We start from the raw sequence: 26,256 nt of genomic DNA on the forward strand, positions 1-26,256 counted from the left end.
TAATCAAATGTCAGCATCTCCAGCAAAGTAATAGATCTTGGTTCTAAATAAATACAAATAACCTAACAAAAGGGAGAAGAAGGAACAGATACAAATATAGAGTGAAGAATCGTGAGATATGCCAAAAAAAAAAAAATCAGAATAGAGGAAAAAGAATCCAAATTAAGAAACAATCCTGAGGCCGGGCGCGGTGGCTCACGCCTGTAATCCCAGCACTTTGGGAGGCCGAGGCGGGCGGATCACGAGGTCAGGAGATCGAGACCATCCTGGCTAACACGGTGAAACCCTGTCTCTACTAAAAAAAATAGAAAAAATTAGCCAGGCATGGTGGCAAGCGCCTGTAGTCCCAGCTACTCTGGAGGCTGAGGCAGGAGAATGGCGTGAACCCGGGAGGTGGAGCTTGCAGTGAGCCGAGACTGCGCCACCTCACTCCAGCCTGGGTGACAGAGCAAGACTCCGTCTCAAAAAAAAAAAAAAAAAAAAGAAAAAATCCTGAAAGTAAGAAATGTAGATAAATTATTGAAGTACTACTTAACCTTTCCCTTTTTTTTCTTCTGAGACAGGGCCTCACTTCGTCACCCAGGCTGGAGCGCTAGTGGCGTGATCTCAACTCATTGCCATCTCAACCTCTCGGTTCAAGTGATCTTCCTTCCCCAGCCCCCCAAGTAGCAGAAACTACAGGTGCTACCACCACACCCAGCTAAGTTTTTTGTATTTTTTGCAGAGACGGGGTTTGACCATGTTGCCCAGGCTGGTCTCAAACTCCTGAGCTCAAATGATCCACCCACCTCAGCCTCCCAAGGTGCTAGGATTACAGACGTGAGCCACCACACCTAGCTTCCATTCCTAATATCATAATAAATGCACGCTACAGCATTTTTAAACAACATCACATTTTTTAATAGTGCCTAACATAGTAGGTACTCATTAAAAAGAAACACAAAAATCAAAATCATTATTCTGATACAGTAAATCTAGATAACATTGTAAGTTACTCTACTATCTTAGAGAATATTTGGTATAAAAAGTACCTCAAATTTTAGTATGTAAGCCAATGGAAAACAAAATTCCCTTTATAAAATTCCTATTGAATAGCTTTGCTTAATTACATCTATTCTTTAAAGTACTAATAGAAACTTAGAATTAAAGGGGTTTTGAATTCCATTCCTTCATCACGAACAGAGTAAAATGAAGGCAGAAAGACAGGGTGGGAGACCTAAACTAGAACCAAAGTTACACCTTAATAGCATAGTATCTGTGATAAAAAAAAAATTTGATCAATACTTTTCAATCAAAACACTCGTCCAGAGAAATTATTTTTCAACTACTTAGATTTAATAGTAATATTTCATAGCTAGGTCTACCAGTAGAATTTGAAAAATGAACAACAGTTAGCCTCTTAAATTTACATAAAATGTACCAATTATCTTACCAGCATAGTGCTCTGACAATAGACATGAGTGTAGATTTTTCTATGATTTTCAAGAGGAAATGTAAAATATATCTTCTCAGATTCCTACAAAAAGAAGGAAAACACTCAATATAGCTGTAATGAGCAGATTAGTTTCATCATTCAAAAATCCAGATATAGCAAATGAGTAATTATTCTAATTCTATCATTCTTCTTGTTGTTGAGAACCAATTCTCTAGGAGTGGGAGAAGGAAGATACAGAAGGGCAAGAGAAAGATTAGGTATAAACTCTGTAGTCCCCAGTTTGTCCTGGAAGTATCAGTGTGAATGTACTTTTTTGTTGTTGTTTTATTGTGGGTTTTTTGCTCTTCTAGTTAAGATTTTATGCAGTTCTTAGCTCTGGCCATTGAAAAGGCCTAGAAATGCCAACCCAATAGTCACAAGCATTTCTAGTACCAGATTATGGTTTTGAGATACCACTTCCCAAAGAAAAGGAATAGTTCCTTAAAGAAATAGCTGATTCACGGTTTGGGGCAGGAAATGTACAAAATAAGCTAAAATATCTTGTCCTACTCAAGAGTGAGGAAACTGTTAAAGACAACTAAAGAGCTGTATCAACAAAGCTCAGGAACTTAACTTGAAATGGTTTGCACTGACCAAATATGGAACGATTTTAGTATCAACAGACTGAAAGAAAACATATTTAAATGCATGAGTGCATAATAATACTGGAGGAATAAACCCACTAATGGTCACTAATAAGAGGAAGCTTGTGAGCCAACTCACCATTCTGATAATGAGTAAATATAAGGTAAGATCCAAAGATCCACACAATTATCACTCTTTTCCCATATGATTTATTCTACTTTTGATAAATTTAGTAGATAAGCAGTTTTTCTGTAAGTATATAGAATTAACTAGAATACTATTCTAGTTAATAAATAATAAAATTAAACATCATAATTTTTGCATCCTCCTTAATCAATTAATAACTCCAGGCATTCCTCATCAACAGTGGCTAACATCACAAAAAGAGAGAAAGTCTAGCAAAAACAAAAACAAAACAAAAATCTGAATATGAAAAAGCAGCTAGATCCAGCTACTAAATCACAGGACCACAACAGGCAAAGGAACATGTTGAATGACTACAGGAATGCAATCAGTAAAATCAAGACTGTGAAACTCTAGAGGACAAATGACTTGGTATTTTTTTCAACAAATAAGTTTCAAGAAAAAAAAGGGGAGAGTGGTGGTAAGAGAAAGTCTTCCAGATTAAAAAGGAATAAGACATTAATCAATAACAACGTATAGGCCTTGTTTGGATCCTGATGTAAACAAACTGAACGTCAAAGAAAACAGCAAAAAAGATAAATTTATGATAAAACTGATTACTGACTAGATACTTATTAAGGAATTATTATTAAATTGTGGGAAAATGGCATGCAGTTATCTTGTTTAAAGAGTCTTTAACTTTTAAAGATAAATACTAAATTATTTCTGGAAAAAACATGAAAAAAAATCCATTGGTGGAATACTTACGTTGTAAGCTACATAGGTCCATTTGGACACTTTTACTAGAACCCACATAGATGTCCCTGAAGGTAAAGGAAATTAATTTATTTGCCTTGTTTTGTTTTTATACTACATAGTTTCTTTCTTCTTTGAATCCTGGTGAAATACTTCTCAATCACAATAAAGAAGTGGTTTTCTGAACACTGGCTATATTAAAACAGAAAATCTAGTAATATATTTTCTATACACTCATCACCAACTAGCATTCACATCAAGTAAAGTATAAATCTGTTTGGTGTCCTTTAACTCTAAGGAATTATCAACATAGGAAATAAATATTTCATTTCCCAAACAAGACACATAATTAAATATAACAGGTATAATTTGCTTTATATTTAAATAGACAAAGCAAGTTATTTTGTTAAAAGCAAAATTTATCAGCAAAAGATATGTTGGTAATCCAAAAGAAGAATGAAGAATAACTGATAATTGAGGAACTAAAAGGAGTCAAGAATAATATGGCACTTAGTTTATGCAATTGTTAGGAGAACAGTCATTTAACTGAAATTTTTCTATTTGTCATGTTATTTTCAAGACAAAATTTTTACCAGCAATCTCTTACATGTTGCTTCTTTTTCCCTTCCTAACCAAGAACTGCACCAGCATCATCATAGGGAAATTAATAATATATGTATATATATAATAGGATCCTAAAACTTGAAGTATCACAGTTTCAAAGATTTTGTCTGCTATAAACAAATTTACCTAAGATTAATAATGAAATACTTCATTTAAAATTAAAATATGTTATTGTCACCAACCTGTTAAGTCAGAAATTATAGCTGGATTTTCCTCAAAATGTTTTGATGGGTGTCTTATAAAGTGGTGATACAAAACTGACAGTTTCTTCTTGGAATTTTGAGTTATCTAGAAAGAACATTGATACATTCTGTATCATTTTGTATCTATTGTAATAGCTTGATGAAACATTGCTTCAGTAATGATGACAACAGCCAACATTTATTACTCTGAGCCAGGCACTGTTCTGAGCACTGTACATAAACTCACTCAATCATCACAAAAACTCTAAGAGATAATGATTTCGCCTGCATTTGAAATGTGAATAAACTAAAGCACAGAGAAATTAAGAAACTTGCCTAAGTTCACACAGCTCTTAAGTCTGGGCTGGGATTCACACCCAGGCATTCTGGCTCTAGAGTCCATGCTTTCATTATTATGCAATAGTGTCTCTCAAGTAACATTTAAGAATAAAACATTATAAAAATGTATAGAACCAGAAGAGAATTTTAGAGATTCTCTGGTCTTGTGATCCCAATGTACTGATTTCCAAATTCAGACTACTGCCAACACCATAACAAAGAATCCACTGGTCACTAGAGAAAATAAATATTGTCAACTTTCCTACCATAGAAATTACTCTCTTTTATTCTATCCTTCTACCTGTTTTTTAAATATCCTGGCACAATAAAAAGTTGGCAACTTTAAAAAAGTTGTCATCCCTTTAAAAAAGTGTACTGGGTATAAAATCCATTTGGTATTGACCATTATTCAACTCTCTAGTTTAATAATTGAGGCCCTGACAGGTAAATGACTTTCTCAACCACAGAGCGAGAACGGCAAAGAAGTAACAGTGAGGATCCAGGTCTACTAAACCTTTCCAATCCCTTTGGAAGTCACCCAGCATTTGCCTGAACATTTTTAATTCACTACTTTGTAAGATCATGCATTCCAATTTTAACAACTCTTACCAGGAGAATGCTTTATTTAGAGCAAATAACTGATTCCTTATTACACTGCTATCTTAGATTGGGAGACAGTCCTTCAAAAATTAGAAACTTGCTATGTTCTCCATTCAAATAAAACATTTCTTCTGCAGATAAAACAACTTCAAACATATCAAGTGTTTTTCATTGAACTCTTTTGGTCCCTTCACCATTCTGATTGCCTCCCCTGGATAAACTTAAGTTTGTTGATGTCCCCCTCAAAATATGATGCATGAAATAGAATACAGTTCTCTAGATACGGTGTCAGTAGAGTGGAGGACAGTGGAACTTTTATACTAATTGATGCAAACTCTCTACTTCAAATAACTCAGTCTTATACTAAATTTGTTTGATTTTCTTAAGGGGCCACATCTGTTTGCAATCAATTAAATGTTACAGCCTGTCTATCAAAACTTTAGGCCGGGCGCAGTGGCTCATGCCTGTAATTCCAGCACTTTGGGAGGCCAAGACGGGTGGATCACAAGGTCAGGAGATCGAGACCATCCTGGCTAACACGTAGAAACCCTGTCTCTACTAAAAATACAAAAAATTAGCCGGGTATGGTGGTGGGCACCTGTGGTTCCAGCTACTCGGGAGGCTGAGGCAGAAGAATGGCATGAACCCGGGAGGCGGAGCTTGCAGTGAGCCGAGATCGCGCCACTGCACTCCAGCCTGGGTGACAGAGCAAGACTCCGTCTCAAAAAACAAAAACAAAAACAAAAACAAAAAAACTTTAAGACTGGATTCCACCATTCTTACTCACTCTCAAGGTAATCCATCTACTCACAAGTTTTTAGCTATGACTTTTATGCTAATAACCACTAGAAATTACTCTGATTCCTGCCTTATCACCATGCTTAGGACTAATTATTCTTTGCATTTTAGTTTCCCTGAATATATATGTTCTGCTTTTCTCCTGGACTATATGCTTCCTGAGGGTTAGATATCATACCTTAAGTTTTTATTTTCTACTATTTAGTCCAGTCAATTACACATAGTGAGTTTTTAAAACAAAACTCAGTTTCATAAACAGTATTTTTGATTCTTAGTAATATGGTTATCAAAAATTTCTCATTTTCTCCTTAAAATGCATATTTATACATTCAGAATTATAATTTATTACATACTAGTACTATAGTTCTTTTCTCATCTTACAAGTTAATGGAAAAACATGCTTGTATTTATTGAAATTAGTTTTATGTCCAATTTTTTTAGGAATATACCTGTCTGACGTATCCTGTTCTTCACCAGTCGGAATAAGGTTTTTCTTAAGTTTACCAAACGTCAGTTGAAGTAAAAACTGGTCTAGCAATTTTAATTGACTCTATTATTGTATGTAGTTGTACTCCCTCAAGTAGGCTTAGAATTTTTACCACAGTTAAGTCTCACAGTTAAAACAATGTCAACAAACCAAAAAATGTTTGTGTTGCATGACCAAGTCACAGTGTCAACTTGGTGAAGCTTGTTTAAATCAATAAATATACTAACTTAATACCGAATCTTGTAGCTTAAAATGTGGTAAAACACAAAATGATCTGGACCTTCAGGAGAGAGCTAAGTATCTATGATTCTCTCTAAGAGTGGTTACACAGCTTTCTGAAGAGTTAAGGAAAAAAATCCCTATCCTTCTAAGACAGTACACTACAGGGTAAAGGTGCTTTCCTCATTGTTAAGAATTAAGTATTACCTGGAGACCTATTGAGAAAGAGGTCACCCATACTAGTTGCCCAAAGAATTGGAGCCTTCAGGGGAAATACTCCAAAAATATCCGGGCTGCAATGCTTTGCCATGAAAAAGACTACTTAAAAAAGAAGGAATTTTTTCTCCAAAAGAAGAAGCCAGAGCCATAGTTCTCAAAATATATTTCCATGAATAAGATGACCTGAGGTAAAAGGCTGTTTAAGATGAATAATGGCAATCTGTTCCCAACTTACAGAAAAAAAAATTAAGTTAATGGAAAGAATTCTCTGAATTTTGCTGAAATCCTGCTACCATTTATCTGCTAGCAGACAAGAAAGAGATAAAAGAGTAATGTGATAATCTGTAAAGGATACTATGATTTCCATATGTTCTGCTAATTGAACAATTTGGAAAATTACTAGTTTGAAGAGTTTACACTGTGAAATCAAATTACAGACAAGGTAAAACTTATAAAAGTACATAATTTAAGTTCTGGTGAGCTTAGGTTATTCAATAAATTACACATTTCGATCTTACCAGAAAGCTAAAGTGGTTTTTAAAAAAGCATGGTTCAAAAATGTTTAATAAACTCAGGAGGCTGAGGTGGGAGAATCACTTGAGCCCAGGAATTTGAGTCCAGACTGGGCAACATAGTGAGAACTTATCTCTCAAAAAGAAAAAATGTCTAATAAGATAGATCATGATGTTTACAATGTATTACAAAAAAAATTATAAAATAGTTTGTAAGAAGTATTTCCCCTACACTTAAAAAATAAAAGAAGGCCGGGTGTAGTAGTTCACGCCTGTAATCCCAGCACTTTGGGAGGCCAAGACAGGTGGATCACCTGAGGTCAGGAGTTTGAAACCAGCCTGGCCAACATGGTGAAACCCCATCTCTATTAAAAATACTGGTGGTGCACATACATAGTCCCAGCTCCTCAGGAGGCTAGGTGGGAGGATCGCTTGAACCTGGGAGGCAGAGGCTGCAGTGAGCCGAGATCACGCCACTGCACTCCAGCCTGTGCAACAGAGTGAGACTCCATCTTAAAAAAAAAAAAAAAAAAAAAAAGGAAGGATATATGTCAAACTTTAAGCAGTGGAAAGAACTGGGGGAAGATTTAAGGTTCTTTCACTTTTCATTTTCATTGCATTTTACAAATCATTCGCAGCAGTCAAAGTATTATGAGAAAAAAAGATATTTCCATTTTGGAACTAATTAAAATTGATATAAGGTATATGCTTCTATTTTCATCAAAGTAAAAAAATTACATTAAATCCATCATGGCTGTAAATGATATAGTAAAGTAAAAGCTTTCATTTAAATAATTTTTAGTTTAAAAATACATACTTGTTTAGTATCAGCATCAATAAGATCAAAGAATGCTCGAACTGTAGTCAACTGCAATTGTTTACACCTAAGGAATAAAGTAAGTGTTACAAATAAAACTTTCTTAAAACATATACTTTTGATCAAAATATGCACAATTCTATTGTTTAGTGGAACATTTGAGTTTCCTTTAGTGCTCTAAACTCAAAAATTATGTAACAAATCATTCTTATTAAGCATATATCTTAAATATGAAACCTATAAAAATAAAGCAAATTAAATCTTCCTGGATGTTTGCCAGAATTTTCAGGGTCCTTCTGTTTTCCCTGAATCCCCTCACCTAGCCTAGCCATAGATGTACTATCTACCCCATCTTTATATGCCTGAAGTATGTCATTCTAGCAGATACTACTGCTCGCACAGCCAGAGAAAAGTCAAAAGAGAATCTTTAAGCTGAAACACAATGAGATAAATATATCAGGGGCTGCCTATTTCTTGACCCATATGGATAAATCTAATCCCTACTTGGTTTTCCATGTGCTGCTCCCTAGAATAGTCACTGCCGGTGATTGGCCAGAAGCTCAGACAGTCCTACCAAAAGTGCAGTTGATTCCACCCAACTAGTAAAAACTCAAAAACTTTGGTATTTGATATTAGCTTCATTTGAGACTGATGCTATTGGGTTTTTGGGAGATTATTTTACATGTTGTCAAGAGAACCTTGGTCAAACTGAAACAAGAACCAAGATGAGAGTTCCAAGCTTCTAAATTAATATTTCTCCCATAGTCTTATTTATAGATGAAGTTCTAAGAAAGTTAACAAACCAGGCCAGGTGTGGTGGTTCACCCCTGCAATCCCAGCACTTTGGGAGGCCAATGTGGGTGGATCACCTGAGGTCAGGAGTTTGAGACCGGCCTGGCCAGCATGGTGAAACCTCATCCCTACTAAAACTACAAAAATTAGCCGGCATGATGGCACATGCCTGTAATGCCAGCTGCTTGGGAGGCTGAGGCATGAGGATCACTTGAAGCCAGGAGGCGAGAGGTTGCAGTGAGCTGAAATTGCACCACTGTCCTCCAGCCTGGGCAACAGAGCGAGACTCTGTCTCAAAAAAAAAAAAAAGTTAACAAGCCAATTAAATTACTGCATTGAGGAGAAAGAGGACCATGACAACTCATCAAAACAAGTTATACAAGTATTAACTTACCACACAATGGAGAGGTGGTCTGTTGAGACCCAGGTCTTAGGCACTGCTGAACTCTAAAAGAAAAGAAAAAAATAAACTTACGAAAAGCACATTTGTTATTCTCTAAAAGGTATGAAATTCTTACAAGCTAATATTTAGAAACACATAATATAGTTTCACTATATTGTGAGGCCTAGACATTTTTAAATGATATTCTTATAAAAGGTGATCCAAATATATTAGAATTTTCTGTATAAATTTCTCTGTATAAAACATAACTCTTTCTAAATATCACTCCTGGTTAGTCAAGTTTAAATTACCATTTAAAAATTACTAAAGCAACCACAGACTCCTAAAGTTTAATGTCTAACTTTTTATTACTCTAATGAGAGACAAGTTTAAGATTCTTTAATAAATCACAGTTAATGTATAAGTTACAAAAGACATTTTAGTAATTTAAATTTTGACGAAACTACCACTTGATAGATTCTAAGATGTTAACTTCTTCATCAGTGGTGTACCTAAGAAATACCTAGGCCTAAGGAGAGTTTTCAAACCAAATATGCCTAATCACAACTGCAAAACTACCAAATCTGACTTTCCCAAGCGGGGTCCAGGGTTATATATTTTGAAAAAAAAAAAAATCCCTAGCTGACTAGGATGTATACAACTAGTAAAATATACAAGGACAAAAGGCTTCTAAAAAATATAAGTATTTGCAGAGGGCTTCCTAACAATGGCACAGCACCCTTCAAGAACTAGAGACTCCTTTTCACACCAGATAATGATCTCTCTGTGAATAGCATCTCACACAGAATAGGGGCTCATTAAGTAAATCTGATTTTATTTTTCATAGCATCTCTTTATGTACCATCAAAGAGACAAGGAGCTGCTATCACCAGAACTGTCAAAACCAAATGAAAATAGAAGACTAACAGCATAGATGCAAGAAAATTTACAGAGGCCTAAAATGTCTCTTTAATAAATGAACTGAAAAAATAAATATGTATAACTTCTAAGGAATCACTAACACCCTGAACTCTATAAATAATAATGTATCTTTGGGTTCCATGTTCTGAAGTGGGAGGAATCTACAGCTTACTTGATGAACTTGTAAGTACTTGATATATTTAGAAATTACTGCTGATAGTTTACTAAAAAAAATTAGACAACCAGAGTTCACTGTCGTTCTTAAATTACATTAATGGTCAGTAGAGTAAGAACTCTTAGTAGACAGCATTTACCATTACCAAGAATATAATGCTGGTTTACTTTCATTCAGTTTAATTAATGCATGTGTGCTAGAGTTGAAAAAGGAAAGGCAACACAAATCAAAAAGTCAGTTGCTCATGATTGTTGTGTTGAAAACTGCTAAATGTCTACCAAAATCTATTCTTTTCTTGCACACTTGGCTAGACTACAGCTCTTAGCCTCTCTTGCTTTAATATGTGACTGAGATCGGGCGTAGTGGCTCACGCCTGTAATCCCAACACTGTGGGAGGCCGAGGCGGGTGGATCACCTGAGGTCAGGAGTTGGAGACCAGCCTGGCTAACATGGTGAAACCGCATCTCTACTAAAAAAATTTCAAAAAATTAGCTGGGCATGGGGGCGTGTGCCTCTAATCCCAGCTACTCAGGAGGCTGAGGCAGAAGAATCGCTTGAACCCTGGAGGCAGAGGTTGCAGTGAGCTGAGATTGTGCCATTGCACTCCAGCCTGGGCAACAAGAGCGAAACTCCGTCTCAAAACAAAACAAAACAAAACACACAAAGTGAGTTTTTTCTAATGGTATGTGAGCAGGAGTGATGTGTGCCATTTGTAGGCCTGACATTTGCCTTGTGTTCTTTCTTCCTTCTTGTGGTTGAAGATGACTGGAGCAACCCTGAAAGAAAAGCATTCAAGATGGAATGCCCACTCTCAGCCTGAGTTCCTGAATGGAACCTCTTGGAAAACCACCCACCAACCTAAATATCCACCCAGGGCAGTTACATGAATAAAACGTCAAGTTCTATTGTGCTTAAGTGTCATTATCTGTGTGGGACTATATTACAGCAGTTTAGTCAACCCTCTTGATACAATTATGGTCTCTAACTTAAAAGATTTTCCAGTCCTAATGGATGTAAACATCATTTAACTATTCTTGAGACAATCATTCAAAAATTGTTACTGTTAATAACTTTTTAAAGGGAATATACATGTAGCTATATGAAAGACTGGAATATCTGGAGGCTAAAAAATAAATCTTAGGTTATACAATGGCAAGCTTTGATAAAGTTCCATAAGTAAAATATCTTCATCAGAGATACAGAAATCAGAGATAACAAGCTCCCTTGAAAGCAACACATTATCAGCTGGGTGTGGTGGCTCACACCTGTAATCCCAGCACTTTGGGAGGCCAAGGCAGGTGAACCACGAGGTCAGGAGATCGAGACCATCCTGGCTAACATGGTGAAACCCCATCTCTACTAAAAATACAAAAAAAATTAGCTGGGCATGGTGGCGGACGCCTGTAGTCCCAGCTACTCGGGAGGCTGAGGCAGGAGAATGGTGTGAACCAGAGAGGCAGAGCTTGCAGTGAGCGGAGATCGCGCCACTGCACTCCAGCCTGGGCTACAGAGCGAGACTCCGTCTCAAAAAAAAAGAAAAAAAAAGAAAGCAACACATTATCAAATAGATTAGAAAAAATAGGGAAGTACACACACACCCATGCCTACACACACACAATTAAAGAGATCAAAGTTCTTTAAAAGATAAGCTTTAGGATGTGGTATCAATACAGCATCATTCTCCAGACAAGGTCCAGGAAATAAGTTACATCAAATTTCATATGACTAAATCGTCTGTGTTTACAAGGAGTTGACACTTAGTCTTTTGAGGACTTCCAACAAATATCTGACCAAAATATTCAACACCAAATAGCAACATTCATACCTCTAATAATGAGGTTTGATAGTTTTACTAATTTAGTTCCAAAGCTATTCTGGCTACATCCCAATTCCTCTAGTTACATGAAAATGGTGGGTAATAGCAGAATAGCTTAATAATTTTTGTTCTATGTATGGCAAGCATTCAGTAAATAACCTATTTAATGAATGAACAGTAATCTAAAGTAGGACAACAATAGGTGAGATGAAAAAAGGAGTATCTATGAAGAGGTATAACTATGAAACAGTGATTTTCTAGTGTTATCTCCTAAAAAGCAAAAGGAACAGGCAGACTACATTCTATGCATCTTCTCTTTAGGAAGTAAGTTATATTTGGAGATGATGTGTATACTGAGTTAAGAAGCTAAGATCTTAACTGAAGACTTCAAGGTTAAATACACATGAAAGAAGTCCTAAAAGGAAACTTGACTCACTTTACACAGATTATGTATCCCAGTTAAAGACCAAATACTTGATGTCCTAGCAGGGAAGAATAAGTAGCAAATTAATTAATCAGGTTCTACTTATACTACTTATACTATCAAAGCTAATCATGTTGTTATAAAATTGGTAAAGTTTCATTCAAGTTTAACATTCAGAAGTATGTGATATATTTGATATTCCACTATGATTATATCTAGTACAACACTCAGATATAACTGGATTCCCCTGGATTCCAGTCCACACATTCTTATATTCACAACTCTAATCAATGAACAGGCTCTTATTTTAGACAAGAAACCATTACTCCTCATAAATAAGGGTCATTTTCATCAAGTTTCTAAGATCCTTTGTACTTACTTTTTTTTGTTTGTTTTTGAGTCAGAGTCTTGTTCTGTCATCCAGGCTGAGGTGCAGTGATAAAATCACAGCTCACTATAACCTCGAACTCCTGGACTCAAGTGATTCTCTTGCCTCAACCTCCTGAGTAGCTCGGACTATAGGCACTTACCACCATGCCAAATTAGCCTGGCTAATTTTAAAGATTTTTTGTATTTTGTAGAGTTGGGGGTCTCCCTATGTTGCCTAGGCTGATCTTGAACTCCTGGCCTCAAGCAGTCCTCCTGCCTTGGCCTCACAAAGCACTAGAATTATAGGCATAAGCCATGGTTCCTGGCCATCCTTTTTACTCCCTATGGACATAAGCATCCACAATTCTGCCCTCCCAACACATTCATATTCATTCATTCATTCATTTTCTCTCTTTCTCTCTTTCCCTCTCTCTCTTACACACATGCATGCCCACACAGCAGTCCAACACCACTAACTCAGCAGTCATTACCATGCAGCTATATATTATTTCTTCTTTCATGCTCCACTGGGTCTATTACATTACTATTTCAATAGAATCTTAAAAAAAGATTACCACAACAGATAAGGCACTGGTATGATGGCTTAATTTTGGTAGAAAAGTCAATCCTGAACGAACTTGGTAATCCCGGAATCCTCCAGCTACAGAAAGTGTGGTTAAATTTATGTGTCGAGCATTTAGAATCCAATAGTTGTTTACAGTCGTATAAAAATCTGGTGGGGAATAAAAAAGAGACATTAAAAAACAGTAGCCATTCCCTGAAACAATAAGATATCTATACAGTAATATTAATATGTAACTGAATTTTTGCTTAAGTCATTTCATCTATAAACAGTTGAGTTATTCACATTTCCCTATTTTCAGTAAAATCAGTATCTTTACACATATTCCTACTTCCCGATTAAATAAAAGTATAAATACTAAGAGTTACTAAAGGTATCAATTAAAAAAAAACAAATTTTACTAGCTTTGGATCCATAAGCAAACACATTTCTACATTCCACAAGGATGATGCTTATTTATGAGTCACACAGTATAGCTAAAAGAGAAAATTCTAATATTCTTCGAAAGATAAGAATTTACCATGCTAGAGTTGTAGACATTTGTGGTGTTAGTTTCATGGTATATGCACATGTTCAAACTGTATACATTAAATGTATACATTACAAACTGTTATATATGTGCGGTATTTTATATATCAATTACCCTCAATAAAGTGGTTTAAAAAAAAAAAAAGAGCTGTAGATCCCTCCCTATGATGGCAGTATCCCAGCTTAAAAAGGCTTAGCTTGGGAGGCTGAGGAAGGCAGATCACGAGGTCAGGAGTTTGAGACTAGCCTGGCCAATATGGTGAAAGCCCATCTCTACTAAAAATACAAAAATTAGCTGGGCATGGTGGTGCGCACCTGTAGTCCCAGCTACTCGGGAGGCTGAGGCAGGAGAATCGCTTGAACCCGGGAGGCAGAGGTTGCAGTGAGCCGAGATTGTGCTACTGCACTCCAGCCTGGGCAACAGAGCGAGACTCTGTCTCAAAAAAAAAAAAAAAAAAAAAGAAAAGAAAAAGGCTTAGCAAATCTCTTCTGTGGCCAACCACCACCACACAAGTACTATTTAAATTCTTACAATCTATCTGGACAATACCATTGACATTAGTCTTAGGACTATGCTGCTGCTGTGGAAAACCTCAGGGTTAGGGTTCAACCCATTTATTGTAACAAGTACTTCAAAGGGAAGAACCTGCAGACAATTTTTCACTTTGTCTATTGAAGGTGAAAAAAGCCTAGTGTCAAAGATTAAATTGAGGCTAGGGCAGGGGATTTCTCAATTCTTTTTGTGATTATCAAAATTTAATGCATTTTTATCCTGACATTTGATCCCACTCAGGGCTTCAAACACTGGGTACAGCAAGCTGCCCCCATTAAAGATCTCAGCAGTACTTACTTAGATTACCACCTAGCAGACTGACTCTTAACATCTGGAGAGCCTGGGATGTTAAGTACCAGTGGGGCACACATGCCATATGTCTAGATAGTTTAAAAAGTCAAAAATCCAGCTAATAACCTGTTAAATCAAATATATTTTTTTCTGCCTATCTTTAAAAATATATCATTGAAATAACCTGGAAGGCCAGGTTCAAATTAAGAATTCTCAGACACCTCAGAGTTAGCCACTGGATGGTGGCAGCATGGGAAGAGCAGATCTTCAGTCTCTTACTGTGCTTCTCTTCCCATCCTAATTCGATCCCGCATTGCAAGGGCCTCATGTGCACATGCAAGCTCTGTCTGTACTTTCAGCAGCGCTATGCTTGGCCACAACTCAAGCTTAGGATTCTACATACCTGCCCTCAGGAAAACAAAGAAAATGAAGAGACCCACACAGGTCTTAGAAGCAGGCTTAGGGCACATAGACAAGAAAAGTCTAGAGGCAGCTGGGCGCAGTGGCTCCCTCCTGTAATCCCAGCACTTTGGGAGGCCGAGGCGGGCGGATCATGAGGTCAAGAGATCGAGACCATCCTGGCCAACATGGTGAAACACTGTCTCTACTAAAAATTAGCTGGGCGTGGTGGCATGCACCTGTAGTCCCAGCTACTTGGGAGGCTGAGGCAGGAGAATCGCTTGAACCCAGGAGGCGGAGGTTGCAGTGAGCCGAGATTGCGCCACTGCACTCCAGCCTGGCAACAGAGCGTGACTGTCTCAAAAAAAAAAATAAATAAAAGTCTGGAGGCTTGGTTAGCTGGATCACAGTGCAGAAGTAAAGATACAGGCTCCACGTGGGGAGGCTACTTAGCCTTCATACTTCTCACCCTGTGGGAAAGGCTAGGGGCAGAGCAGCAGGAACCTCTAAAGTGCAGAGCCCAGTGCAGGGCCTCCTTCCTCCTATTGAAAGGCAGTATTTTCAACAAGTATAAACAGGGAATCTACTTCTGAGGTCATATGGATCTCTGTCTCTCAAAACCTTAAAATTTTCATTCTAATTTTGACTTAGTAAAATAAAAAGAATAAATATAGAATAAAAAGGAAAGACTAATTACAGGAAAGGTACAGGATTCTTGACCCTAAGAATCACTTTCAGCCTGAGCCTTATAGAGACAGAACAGTGCCACCCTCCAAAGCAATAAAACCTATTGAGGGTGCATTCCTCAAGTAATTTTTAAAATATCTTTGAGTCATTCTAATTTAATCTATACGGGTCATCTACATACACCACACAGAATGCAACAATATAAAGAGTTCTCAATTACGGTGACAAGTACTATGACTTTTAGCCTTTAATTTTTTTCCTAAACCTAAGGTCATTTAAGATTATTAGACTACAACAAATTTAAACAACTTCATTATTAAAATTAAAATGTTTCCTTATTAAAAGACTTCTACAAGCAAAGTTTTAAATGTACCAACAGAAAAACCGGGCCTCATAATAATTACTGTTGCACCAGATACTTAAGAGCAAATAAATTATTTTTTGGCAATGCTGTTATGTTAAGATGGTTTGGAGTCACTGGGGAATATTTCTCACTTAACTACAAACAAAATTTTCATCAAAATTAAGATAATGCGGGAGGGAGGAGCCAAGATGGCCGAATAGGAACAGCTCCGGTCTACAGCTCCCAGCGTGAGCGACGCAGAAGACGGGTGATTTCTGCATTTCCATCTGAGGTACCAGGTTCATCTCACTAGGGAGTGCCAGACAGTGGGCGCAGGCCAGTGTGTGCGCGCACCGTGCGCGAGCCGAAGCAGGGCGAGGCATTGCCTCACCTGGGAAGCGCAAGGGGTCAGGGAGTTCCCTTTCCGAGTCAAAGAAAGGGGTGACGGACGCACCTGGAAAATCGGGTCACTCCCACCCGAATATTGCGCTTTTCAGACCGGCTTAAGAAACGGCGCACCACGAGACTATATCCCACACCTGGCTCAGAGGGTCCTACGCCCACGGAATCTCGCTGATTGCTAGCACAGCAGTCTGAGATCAAACTGCAAGGCGGCAACGAGGCTGGGGGAGGGGCGCCCGCCATAGCCCAGGCTTGCTTAGGTAAACAAAGCAGCCAGGAAGCTCGAACTGGGTGGAGCCCACCACAGCTCAAGGAGGCCTGCCTGCCTCTGTAGGCTCCACCTCTGGGGGCAGGGCACAGACAAACAAAAAGACAGCAGTAACCTCTGCAGACTTAAGTGTCCCTGTCTGACAGCTTTGAAGAGAGCAGTGGTTCTCCCAGCACGCAGCTGGAGATCTGAGAACGGGCAGACTGCCTCCTCAAGTGGGTCCCTGACCCCTGACCCCCGAGCAGCCTAACTGGGAGGCACCCCCCAGCAGGGGCACACTGACACCTCACACGGCAGGGTATTCCAACAGACCTGCAGCTGAGGGTCCTGTCTGTTAGAAGGAAAACTAACAACCAGAAAGGACATCTACACCGAAAACCCATCTGTACATCACCATCATCAAAGACCAAAAGTAGATAAAGCCACAAAGATGGGGAAAAAACAGAACAGAAAAACTGGAAACTCTAAAACGCAGAGTGCCTCTCCTCCTCCAAAGGAACGCAGTTCCTCACCAGCAACAGAACAAAGCTGGATGGAGAATGATTTTGACAAGCTGAGAGAAGAAGGCTTCAGACGATCAAATTACTCTGAGCTACGGGAGGACATTCAAACCAAAGGCAAAGAAGTTGAAAACTTTGAAAAAAATTTAGAAGAATGTATAACTAGAATAACCAATACAGAGAAGTGCTTAAAGGAGCTGATGGAGCTGAAAACCAAGGCTCGAGAACTACGTGAAGAATGCAGAAGCCTCAGGAGCCGATGCGATCAACTGGAAGAAAGGGTATCAGCAATGGAAGATGAAATGAATGAAATGAAGCGAGAAGGGAAGTTTAGAGAAAAAAGAATAAAAAGAAATGAGCAAAACCTCCAAGAAATATGGGTCTATGTGAAAAGACCAAATCTACGTCTGATTGGTGTACCTGAAAGAGATGTGGAGAATGGAACCAAGTTGGAAAACACTCTGCAGGATATTATCCAGGAGAACTTCCCCAATCTAGCAAGGCAGGCCAACGTTCAGATTCAGGAAATACAGAGAACGCCACAAAGATACTCCTCGAGAAGAGCAACTCCAAGACACATAATTGTCAGATTCACCAAAGTTGAAATGAAGGAAAAAATGTTAAGGGCAGCCAGAGAGAAAGGTCGGGTTACCCTCAAAGGAAAGCCCATCAGACTAACAGCGGATCTCTCGGCAGAAACCCTACAAGCCAGAAGAGAGTGGGGGCCAATATTCAACATTCTTAAAGAAAAGAATTTTCAACCCAGAATTTCATATCCAGCCAAACTAAGCTTCATAAGTGAAGGAGAAATAAAATACTTTATAGACAAGCAAATGCTGAGAGATTTTGTCACCACCAGGCCTGCCCTAAAAGAGCTCCTGAAGGAAGCGCTAAACATGGAAAGGAACAACCGGTACCAGCCACTGCAAAATCATGCCAAAATGTAAAGACCATCGAGACTAGGAAGAAACTGCATCAACTAATGAGCAAAATCACCAGCTAACATCATAATGACAGGATCAAATTCACACATAACAATATTAACTTTAAATATAAATGGACTAAATTCTGCAATTAAAAGACACAGACTGGCAAGTTGGATAAAGAGTCAAGACCCATCAGTGTGCTGTATTCAGGAAACCCATCTCACGTGCAGAGACACACATAGGCTCAAAATAAAAGGATGGAGGAAGATCTACCAAGCCAATGGAAAACAAAAAAAGGCAGGGGTTGCAATCCTAGTCTCTGATAAAACAGACTTTAAACCAACAAAGATCAAAAGAGACAAAGAAGGCCATTACATAATGGTAAAGGGATCAATTCAACAAGAGGAGCTAACTATCCTAAATATTTATGCACCCAATACAGGAGCACCCAGATTCATAAAGCAAGTCCTCAGTGACCTACAAAGAGACTTAGACTCCCACACATTAATAATGGGAGACTTTAACACCCCACTGTCAACATTAGACAGATCAACGAGACAGAAAGTCAACAAGGATACCCAGGAATTGAACTCAGCTCTGCACCAAGCAGACCTAATAGACATCTACAGAACTCTCCACCCCAAATCAACAGAATATACATTTTTTTCAGCACCACACCACACCTATTCCAAAATTGACCACATAGTTGGAAGAAAAGCTCTCCTCAGCAAATGTAAAAGAACAGAAATTATAACAAACTATCTCTCAGACCACAGTGCAATCAAACTAGAACTCAGGATTAAGAATCTCACTCAAAGCCGCTCAACTACATGGAAACTGAACAACCTGCTCCTGAATGACTACTGGGTACATAACGAAATGAAGGCAGAAATAAAGATGTTCTTTGAAACCAACGAGAACAAAGACACCACATACCAGAATCTCTGGGACGCATTCAAAGCAGTGTGTAGAGGGAAATTTATAGCACTAAATGCCTACAAGAGAAAGCAGGAAAGATCCAAAATTGACACCCTAACATCACAATTAAAAGAACTAGAAAAGCAAGAGCAAACACATTCAAAAGCTAGCAGAAGGCAAGAAATAACTAAAATCAGAGCAGAACTGAAGGAAATAGAGACACAAAAAACCCTTCAAAAAATCAATGAATCCAGGAGCTGGTTTTTCGAAAGGATCAACAAAATTGATAGACCGCTAGCAAGACTAATAAAGAAAAAAAGAGAGAAGAATCAAATAGACACAATAAAAAATGATAAAGGGGATATCACCACCGATCCCACAGAAATACAAACTACCATCAGAGAATACTACAAACACCTCTACGCAAATAAACTAGAAAATCTAGAAGAAATGGATACATTCCTCGACACATACACTCTCCCAAGACTAAACCAGGAAGAAGTTGAATCTCTGAATAGACCAATAACAGGCTCTGAAATTGTGGCAATAATCAATAGTTTACCAACCAAAAAGAGTCCAGGACCAGATGGATTCACAGCCGAATTCTACCAGAGGTACAAGGAGGAACTGGTACCATTCCTTCTGAAACTATTCCAATCAATAGAAAAAGAGGGAATCCTCCCTAACTCATTTTATGAGGCCAGCATCATTCTGATACCAAAGCCGGGCAGAGACACAACCAAAAAAGAGAATTTTAGACCAATATCCTTGATGAACATTGATGCAAAAATCCTCAATAAAATACTGGCAAACCGAATCCAGCAGCACATCAAAAAGCTTATCCACCATGATCAAGTGGGCTTCATCCCTGGGATGCAAGGCTGGTTCAATATACGCAAATCAATAAATGTAATCCAGCATATAAACAGAGCCAAAGACAAAAACCACATGATTATCTCAATAGATGCAGAAATGGCCTTTGACAAAATTCAACAACCCTTCATGCTAAAAACTCTCAATAAATTAGGTATTGATGGGACGTATTTCAAAATAATAAGAGCTATCTATGACAAACCCACAGCCAATATCATACTGAATGGGCAAAAACTGGAAGCATTCCCTTTGAAAACTGGCACAAGACAGGGATGCCCTCTCTCACCGCTCCTATTCAACATAGTGTTGGAAGTTCTGGCCAGGGCAATCAGGCAGGAGAAGGAAATAAAGGGTATTCAATTAGGAAAAGAGGAAGTCAAATTGTCCCTGTTTGCAGACGACATGATTGTTTATCTAGAAAACCCCATCGTCTCAGCCCAAAATCTCCTTAAGCTGATAAGCAACTTCAGCAAAGTCTCAGGATACAAAATCAATGTACAAAAATCACAAGCATTCTTATACACCAACAACAGACAAACAGAGAGCCAAATCATGGGTGAACTCCCATTCACAATTGCTTCAAAGAGAATAAAATACCTAGGAATCCAAATTACAAGGGATGTGAAGGACCTCTTCAAGGAGAACTACAAACCACTGCTCAAGGAAATAAAAGAGGACACAAACAAATGGAAGAACATTCCATGCTCATGGGTAGGAAGAATCAATATCGTGAAAATGGCCATACTGCCCAAGGTAATTTACAGATTCAATGCCATCCCCATCAAGCTACCAATGACTTTCTTCACAGAATTGGAAAAAACTACTTTAAAGTTCATATGGAACCAAAAAAGAGCCCGCATTGCCAAGTCAATCCTAAGCCAAAAGAACAAAGCTGGAGGCATCACACTACCTGACTTCAAACTATACTACAAGGCTACAGTAACCAAAACAGCATGGTACTGGTACCAAAACAGAGATATAGATCAATGGAACAGAACAGAGCCCTCAGAAATAATGCCGCATATCTACAACTATCTGATCTTTGACAAACCTGACAAAAACAAGCAATGGGGAAAGGATTCCCTATTTAATAAATGGTGCTGGGAAAACTGGCTAGCCATATGTAGAAAGCTGAAACTGGATCCCTTCCTTACACCTTATACAAAAATCAATTCAAGATGGATTAAAGATTTAAACGTTAAACCTAAAACCATAAAAACCCTAGAAGAAAACCTAGGCATTACCATTCAGGACATAGGCGTGGGCAAGGACTTCATGTCCAAAACACCAAAAGCAATGGCAACAAAAGACAAAATTGACAAATGGGATCTAATTAAACTAAAGAGCTTCTGCACAGCAAAAGAAACTACCATCAGAGTGAACAGGCAACCTACAACATGGGAGAAAATTTTCGCAACCTACTCATCTGACAAAGGGCTAATATCCAGAATCTACAATGAACTCAAACAAATTTACAAGAAAAAAACAAACAACCCCATCAAAAAGTGGGCGAAGGACATGAACAGACACTTCTCAAAAGAAGACATTTATGCAGCCAAAAAACACATGAAGAAATGCTCATCATCACTGGCCATCAGAGAAATGCAAATCAAAACCACTATGAGATATCATCTCACACCAGTTAGAATGGCAATCATTAAAAAGTCAGGAAACAACAGGTGCTGGAGAGGATGCGGAGAAATAGGAACACTTTTACACTGTTGGTGGGACTGTAAACTAGTTCAACCATTGTGGAAGTCAGTGTGGCGATTCCTCAGGGATCTAGAACTAGAAATACCATTTGACCCAGCCATCCCATTACTGGGTATATACCCAAATGAGTATAAATCATGCTGCTATAAAGACACATGCACACGTATGTTTATTGAGGCACTATTCACAATAGCAAAGACTTGGAACCAACCCAAATGTCCAACAATGATAGACTGGATTAAGAAAATGTGGCACATATACACCATGGAATACTATGCAGCCATAAAAAATGATGAGTTCATATCCTTTGTAGGGACATGGATGAAATTGGAAACCATCATTCTCAGTAAACTATCGCAAGAACAAAAAACCAAACACCGCATATTCTCACTCATAGGTGGGAATTGAACAATGAGATCACATGGACACAGGAAGGGGAATATCACACTCTGGGGACTGTGGTGGGGTCGGGGGAGGGGGGAGGGATAGCATTGGGAGATATACCTAATGCTAGATGACACATTAGTGGGTGCAGCGCACCAGCATGGCACATGTATACATATGTAACTAACCTGCACAATGTGCACATGTACCCTAAAACTTAGAGTATAATAAAAAAAAAAAAAAAAAAAAAAAAAAAAAATTAAGATAATGCAAATTTTTATAGGTAAGAAGCTATATACATTTACTAACCAGAAAGAATTCTTTCTAAAGATTTTCATCTACTCATATAATATTCCTATAAGCAGTGAGGATAATCTCTGGCTTTTTTTAACAATAAGTTGAGATAACAGACATTTAATTCTTATTCTGTGACGTTATCACTATTTGATTAGACGATGTCAATCACAAACTCCTACTTTTCATTCAAAATTCCTGCAAGATTATAGTATTATCTACGGTTTTATTTCCTATGTTAATGTACTTCAATTAAGAGGCAGTACAGCATGCAAAGGTTAAGAGCACAAGCCCAGAAGCAATTTTGCCAGGGTCAAATACTGGTTTCACTACTTTCTTGCCACATGACTCTGGGCAAGAACGTTATCTTGGCCTTTTTCTATCCATAAACATGAGGATAATAATGGTGCCTACCTCATGGGACTGCAGTAAGGATTAAGTGTGGTAACACATCACATGAAGTCTTTAAAATCCATAACATACTAAGAGCTCAATAAATATTAGGAATTATATCTCATTATATAAAGTGTTAGCATACCTTTGTACTTAAAAACTAGACATTGCTACTATCTTACTTAAATATAAGCTTATTTTGGATACAGTCCTAAAACAGTTAACAAAGCATAGGAAGTTTAAACACATCTTAAGAGACAGGGTACCATCCTCAAAAATAACTAAACTGGCCAGGCATGGTGGCTTATGCCTGTAATCCCAGCACTTTGGGAGGCTGAGATAGGCAGATCACTTGAGGTCAGCAGTTCAAGACCAGCCTGGGCAATACGGCAAAAATCCCAGATACTTGGAAGGCTGAAGCACGAGAATCGCTTGAACCTGAGAGGTGGAGGTTGCAGTGAGCTGAGATTGCACCACTGCACTCCAGCCTGGGAGAAAGAGCAAGACCCTGTCTTTAAAAAAAAAAAAAAAAAAAAAAAAAAACTAAACGGAAGCCCTAGTGCCTAGAAATTATAAAACACATGTCAACCATGTTAAGATGCTATGGACAGACAAAACTTAACAGTAGTTTCAATTATAAGCCTAAGTTCAATAATATAAAGAGACAGACACTCAGAATTGGAGGTGCTGATTTGCAACTGAGTTGCTTCATACATGGATAAATCTGTAGCATACTCCTAGGGGAATAGCCACAGAGATTGATTTATTTAATCTTAAATAACAATGGGGAGGTTAATGTTCATGTAACAGTACTCACCTGTAATGAAACGATCTAATGGCATCACAGGAGCAACATGAGGTGTGGCTTGTGTAATAAGAAGATTTATCAGATCATGCTTAAAATTTTTCAGTGTAAGCAATGCTCTTGCAACAAGGCCACCCATAGAATGACCAATTATTGCCACACTTTTTGGAGCAAATTCTTGACCCTATTAAAATAAATCACCAGGTCATAATTGCGGCTTTGTATCATTTTTAAAATACTAAATATTTCTCTCTGCATATGACCAATTTTATAGGAAAAAGAAAATCAAACTATTTATATAACCTCCCATCATAAGGTACAGAAATACATTTTCATATAGTTTTAATTAGTGTATACATACTATTTTGTGTTCTGCCAAACATTTTTAACAGGTATATCTTGGTTTTCTGGGCCAAGAGGAACAGTTGGTCTAGCAAATCATGTTTATACTGTTGGTTACACTACATGTAATGTGAGGAGTAATTATATTTGGTATATACCAGATTATTAGGTTTTACAAGACATAAGAAATCGGATAATTTGTTTGAAACTGAAAATATCACCCAAAAAAGGCCAAGACAATTACAGTTGCGATAGCAATATATTACCTTATCATGTTGTTATCTTTTATCTCATCAAATTATTTCTCTATTGTGCATTTTGGTTTAAAAACGAAGCAGCATTCCAAACATTTATTCACTGACAATTCCATATTTTATTTTTTAGATAAGTGCTTTTCAAAAAATCTTTTGTTTTCAACAATCTCCTCAGTCTCATTACCAAACTTTTGCTCATCATCCCCAACACAGATCCTTCCTATGTACCATCGCTTCTCAATGAATAGACTGAATCTTGTGCAGAAGAGTTAACATAGGAGGCCTGAGACTGCTGTCCTTGGCATGGGCTGGATACAAGGTTGGCTCTTGGCTGGAATCTGGAACCTTATACTTGGGGGAGATTCTCACCATTCCCTAAATGATAAGAGTGCCTAAACTGTTTGTGCAAACAACATGTTTTATGCTGAACACCTGCTGTCCTCCAGGCTGGAATTTTGGTATGTGCTAGGCAGAGGGTATCTATGTGATAAGTCCCCAGTAAAAACCATGGGCACTGAGTCTCTAATGAGCTTCCCTTGTGGACACTATTTCAGCCATGTCACAATATGCTGGTATAGGAATTAAGTGGATCCTTGGTGATCTCCAATACAGACCTGATCTTAGCAAAAGCCAAACCCTACAACTGTGCTCTGAAACCTATCCCCTTTGACCTTCGCAAGTACCTCACTCTAGCAATCCTTCTCATTTTCTTCTTGCATTATTGCTTTTCCCTATCAACTAGATCACTTTCATTAGTGTATAAATATACTGGCATTCTCTCTTAAAAATAAAAATAACTCCCTTTTAATTCTCACTTTCCCCTTAGTGACTACTTTACATTTCTTTACAGCAAAACTCTAAAAGCAAGTTGCAGGCCAGGTCCGGTGGCTCACACCTGTAATCCCAGCACTTTAGGAGGCCAAGGTAGGTGGATCACTTCAGGTCAGGAGTTCGAGACCAGCCTGGCTAACATGGCAAAACCTGGTATCTGCTAAAAATACAAAAATTAGCTGGGCGTGGTGGCACATGCCTGTAGTCCCAGTTACTCAGGAGGCTGAGGCAGGAGAATCACTTGAACCTAGGAGGAGGAGGTTGCAGTGAGCTGAGATTGCACCACTGTACTCCAGCCTGGTGACAGAGTGAGACCCTGTCTCAAACAAAACAAAACAAAACAAAACAAAACAAAACAAAACAAAACAAGTTGTATACACAGTACTTGCTATTGCTATCTCCAATTTCTCAACTTCCATACACTCTTAAATCCATTTCAATCAGACTTTCACCCCAACATGCCACCAAAACTGCTCTTGCTAAATCACCAAGGAATCCAATAGTCAATTCTTAATTCTTTTTTTTTTTTTTTTCTGAGACAGGGTCTCACTCTGTCACCCAGGCTGGAGCGCAGTGGCACGATTCATGGCTCACTGCAGCCCCAATCTCCTAGGCTCCGAGTAGATCCTCCTACCTCAGCCTCCCAAGTAGCTGGGACTACAAGTGTGCACCACCACATCCAGCTAATATATATATTTTTTTGTAGACACAGGGTCTCACTATGTTGCCTAGGCTACAATGGTCAATTATTAATCCTCATCTTATTTGACCTATCAGTAACATTTGACACAGTTGATAACTTACTTCTTCCTTCTTTGAAATATTTAAGTTAGTTTCTTTGACAACAAACTCTCCTGGTTCTCCCTTTGCCTCACTGGCTCCTCTTTTTTAGTTTCTGTTTCTGGTTCCTTCTCATCTCTCCTCATTTCTTAAAACTTAGGTGACTCAGGTCTCCGCCCTTAGATCACTGCTCTTTCATATCTTTGCTGAAACCATCAGTGATCTCTTCCTGTCTAGTGGCTTTAAGTATATCTACACACTGTCAACCTCTCAGTAATTATCTCGAGACTGTACTCCTTCTCTTGAACTCTAGCCTTGAACTCCACCTGTACAGTAGCATACATGGAATGCCTAATGTGCATCTCAAACTGGATCTATCTAAAACTAAACTCTTAATCTCCTCCATATCTGTTCCTCCTGTATTCTTCCCTACCTCAGTTAATGGCAGTTCAATCTTTCCAGTTGTTTAGCCAAAAATCTTGGGGTCATCCTTAACTGTTCTTTTCCTCTCACTTTGCCCTTCCATATCTGATCTGCCAGCAAATTTACTGCCTCAACCTTTAAGATTTACACTG

The 26,256-nt window shown here is 38.2% G+C and overlaps 1 protein-coding gene across 8 annotated transcripts in view, besides 1 other annotated feature; it reads right to left on the bottom strand.

Moving 5' to 3' along the window:
* The window catches only part of PGAP1 (post-GPI attachment to proteins inositol deacylase 1), a 93,704-nt gene that overhangs the window by 56,392 nt on the left and 11,056 nt on the right, over nt 1-26,256 (bottom strand). For 7 of the 8 annotated variants that reach the window (XR_007082522.1, XR_001738960.2, NM_024989.4 and 4 more), the window contains 7 exons: nt 23,487-23,658; nt 13,190-13,347; nt 8,922-8,974; nt 7,736-7,802; nt 3,745-3,850; nt 2,951-3,006; nt 1,433-1,516 (listed from right to left, as the gene is read on the bottom strand). Coding sequence is in view for 6 of the 8 variants with exons in the window: in NM_024989.4 (NP_079265.2) it covers nt 1,433-1,516; nt 2,951-3,006; nt 3,745-3,850; nt 7,736-7,802; nt 8,922-8,974; nt 13,190-13,347; nt 23,487-23,658 (696 nt within the window). In the remaining 2 variants the exon portion in view is untranslated. The remainder of the gene's footprint in view (nt 1-1,432; nt 1,517-2,950; nt 3,007-3,744; nt 3,851-7,735; nt 7,803-8,921; nt 8,975-13,189; nt 13,348-23,486; nt 23,659-26,256) is intronic. The other variant, NM_001321100.2, reaches the window with a different exon arrangement.
* Nucleotides 25,712-25,911: an enhancer, noted in NCBI's record as "active region_16915". NCBI's record gives its function as "activates an Ori minimal core promoter by ATAC-STARR-seq in GM12878 lymphoblastoid cells {active_cell/tissue: GM12878}" and the evidence as "EXISTENCE:reporter gene assay evidence [ECO:0000049][PMID:35858748]".

This window comes from Homo sapiens, chromosome 2 (genome assembly GCF_000001405.40).
Source record: "Homo sapiens chromosome 2, GRCh38.p14 Primary Assembly".
NCBI lineage: Eukaryota > Metazoa > Chordata > Mammalia > Primates > Hominidae > Homo > Homo sapiens.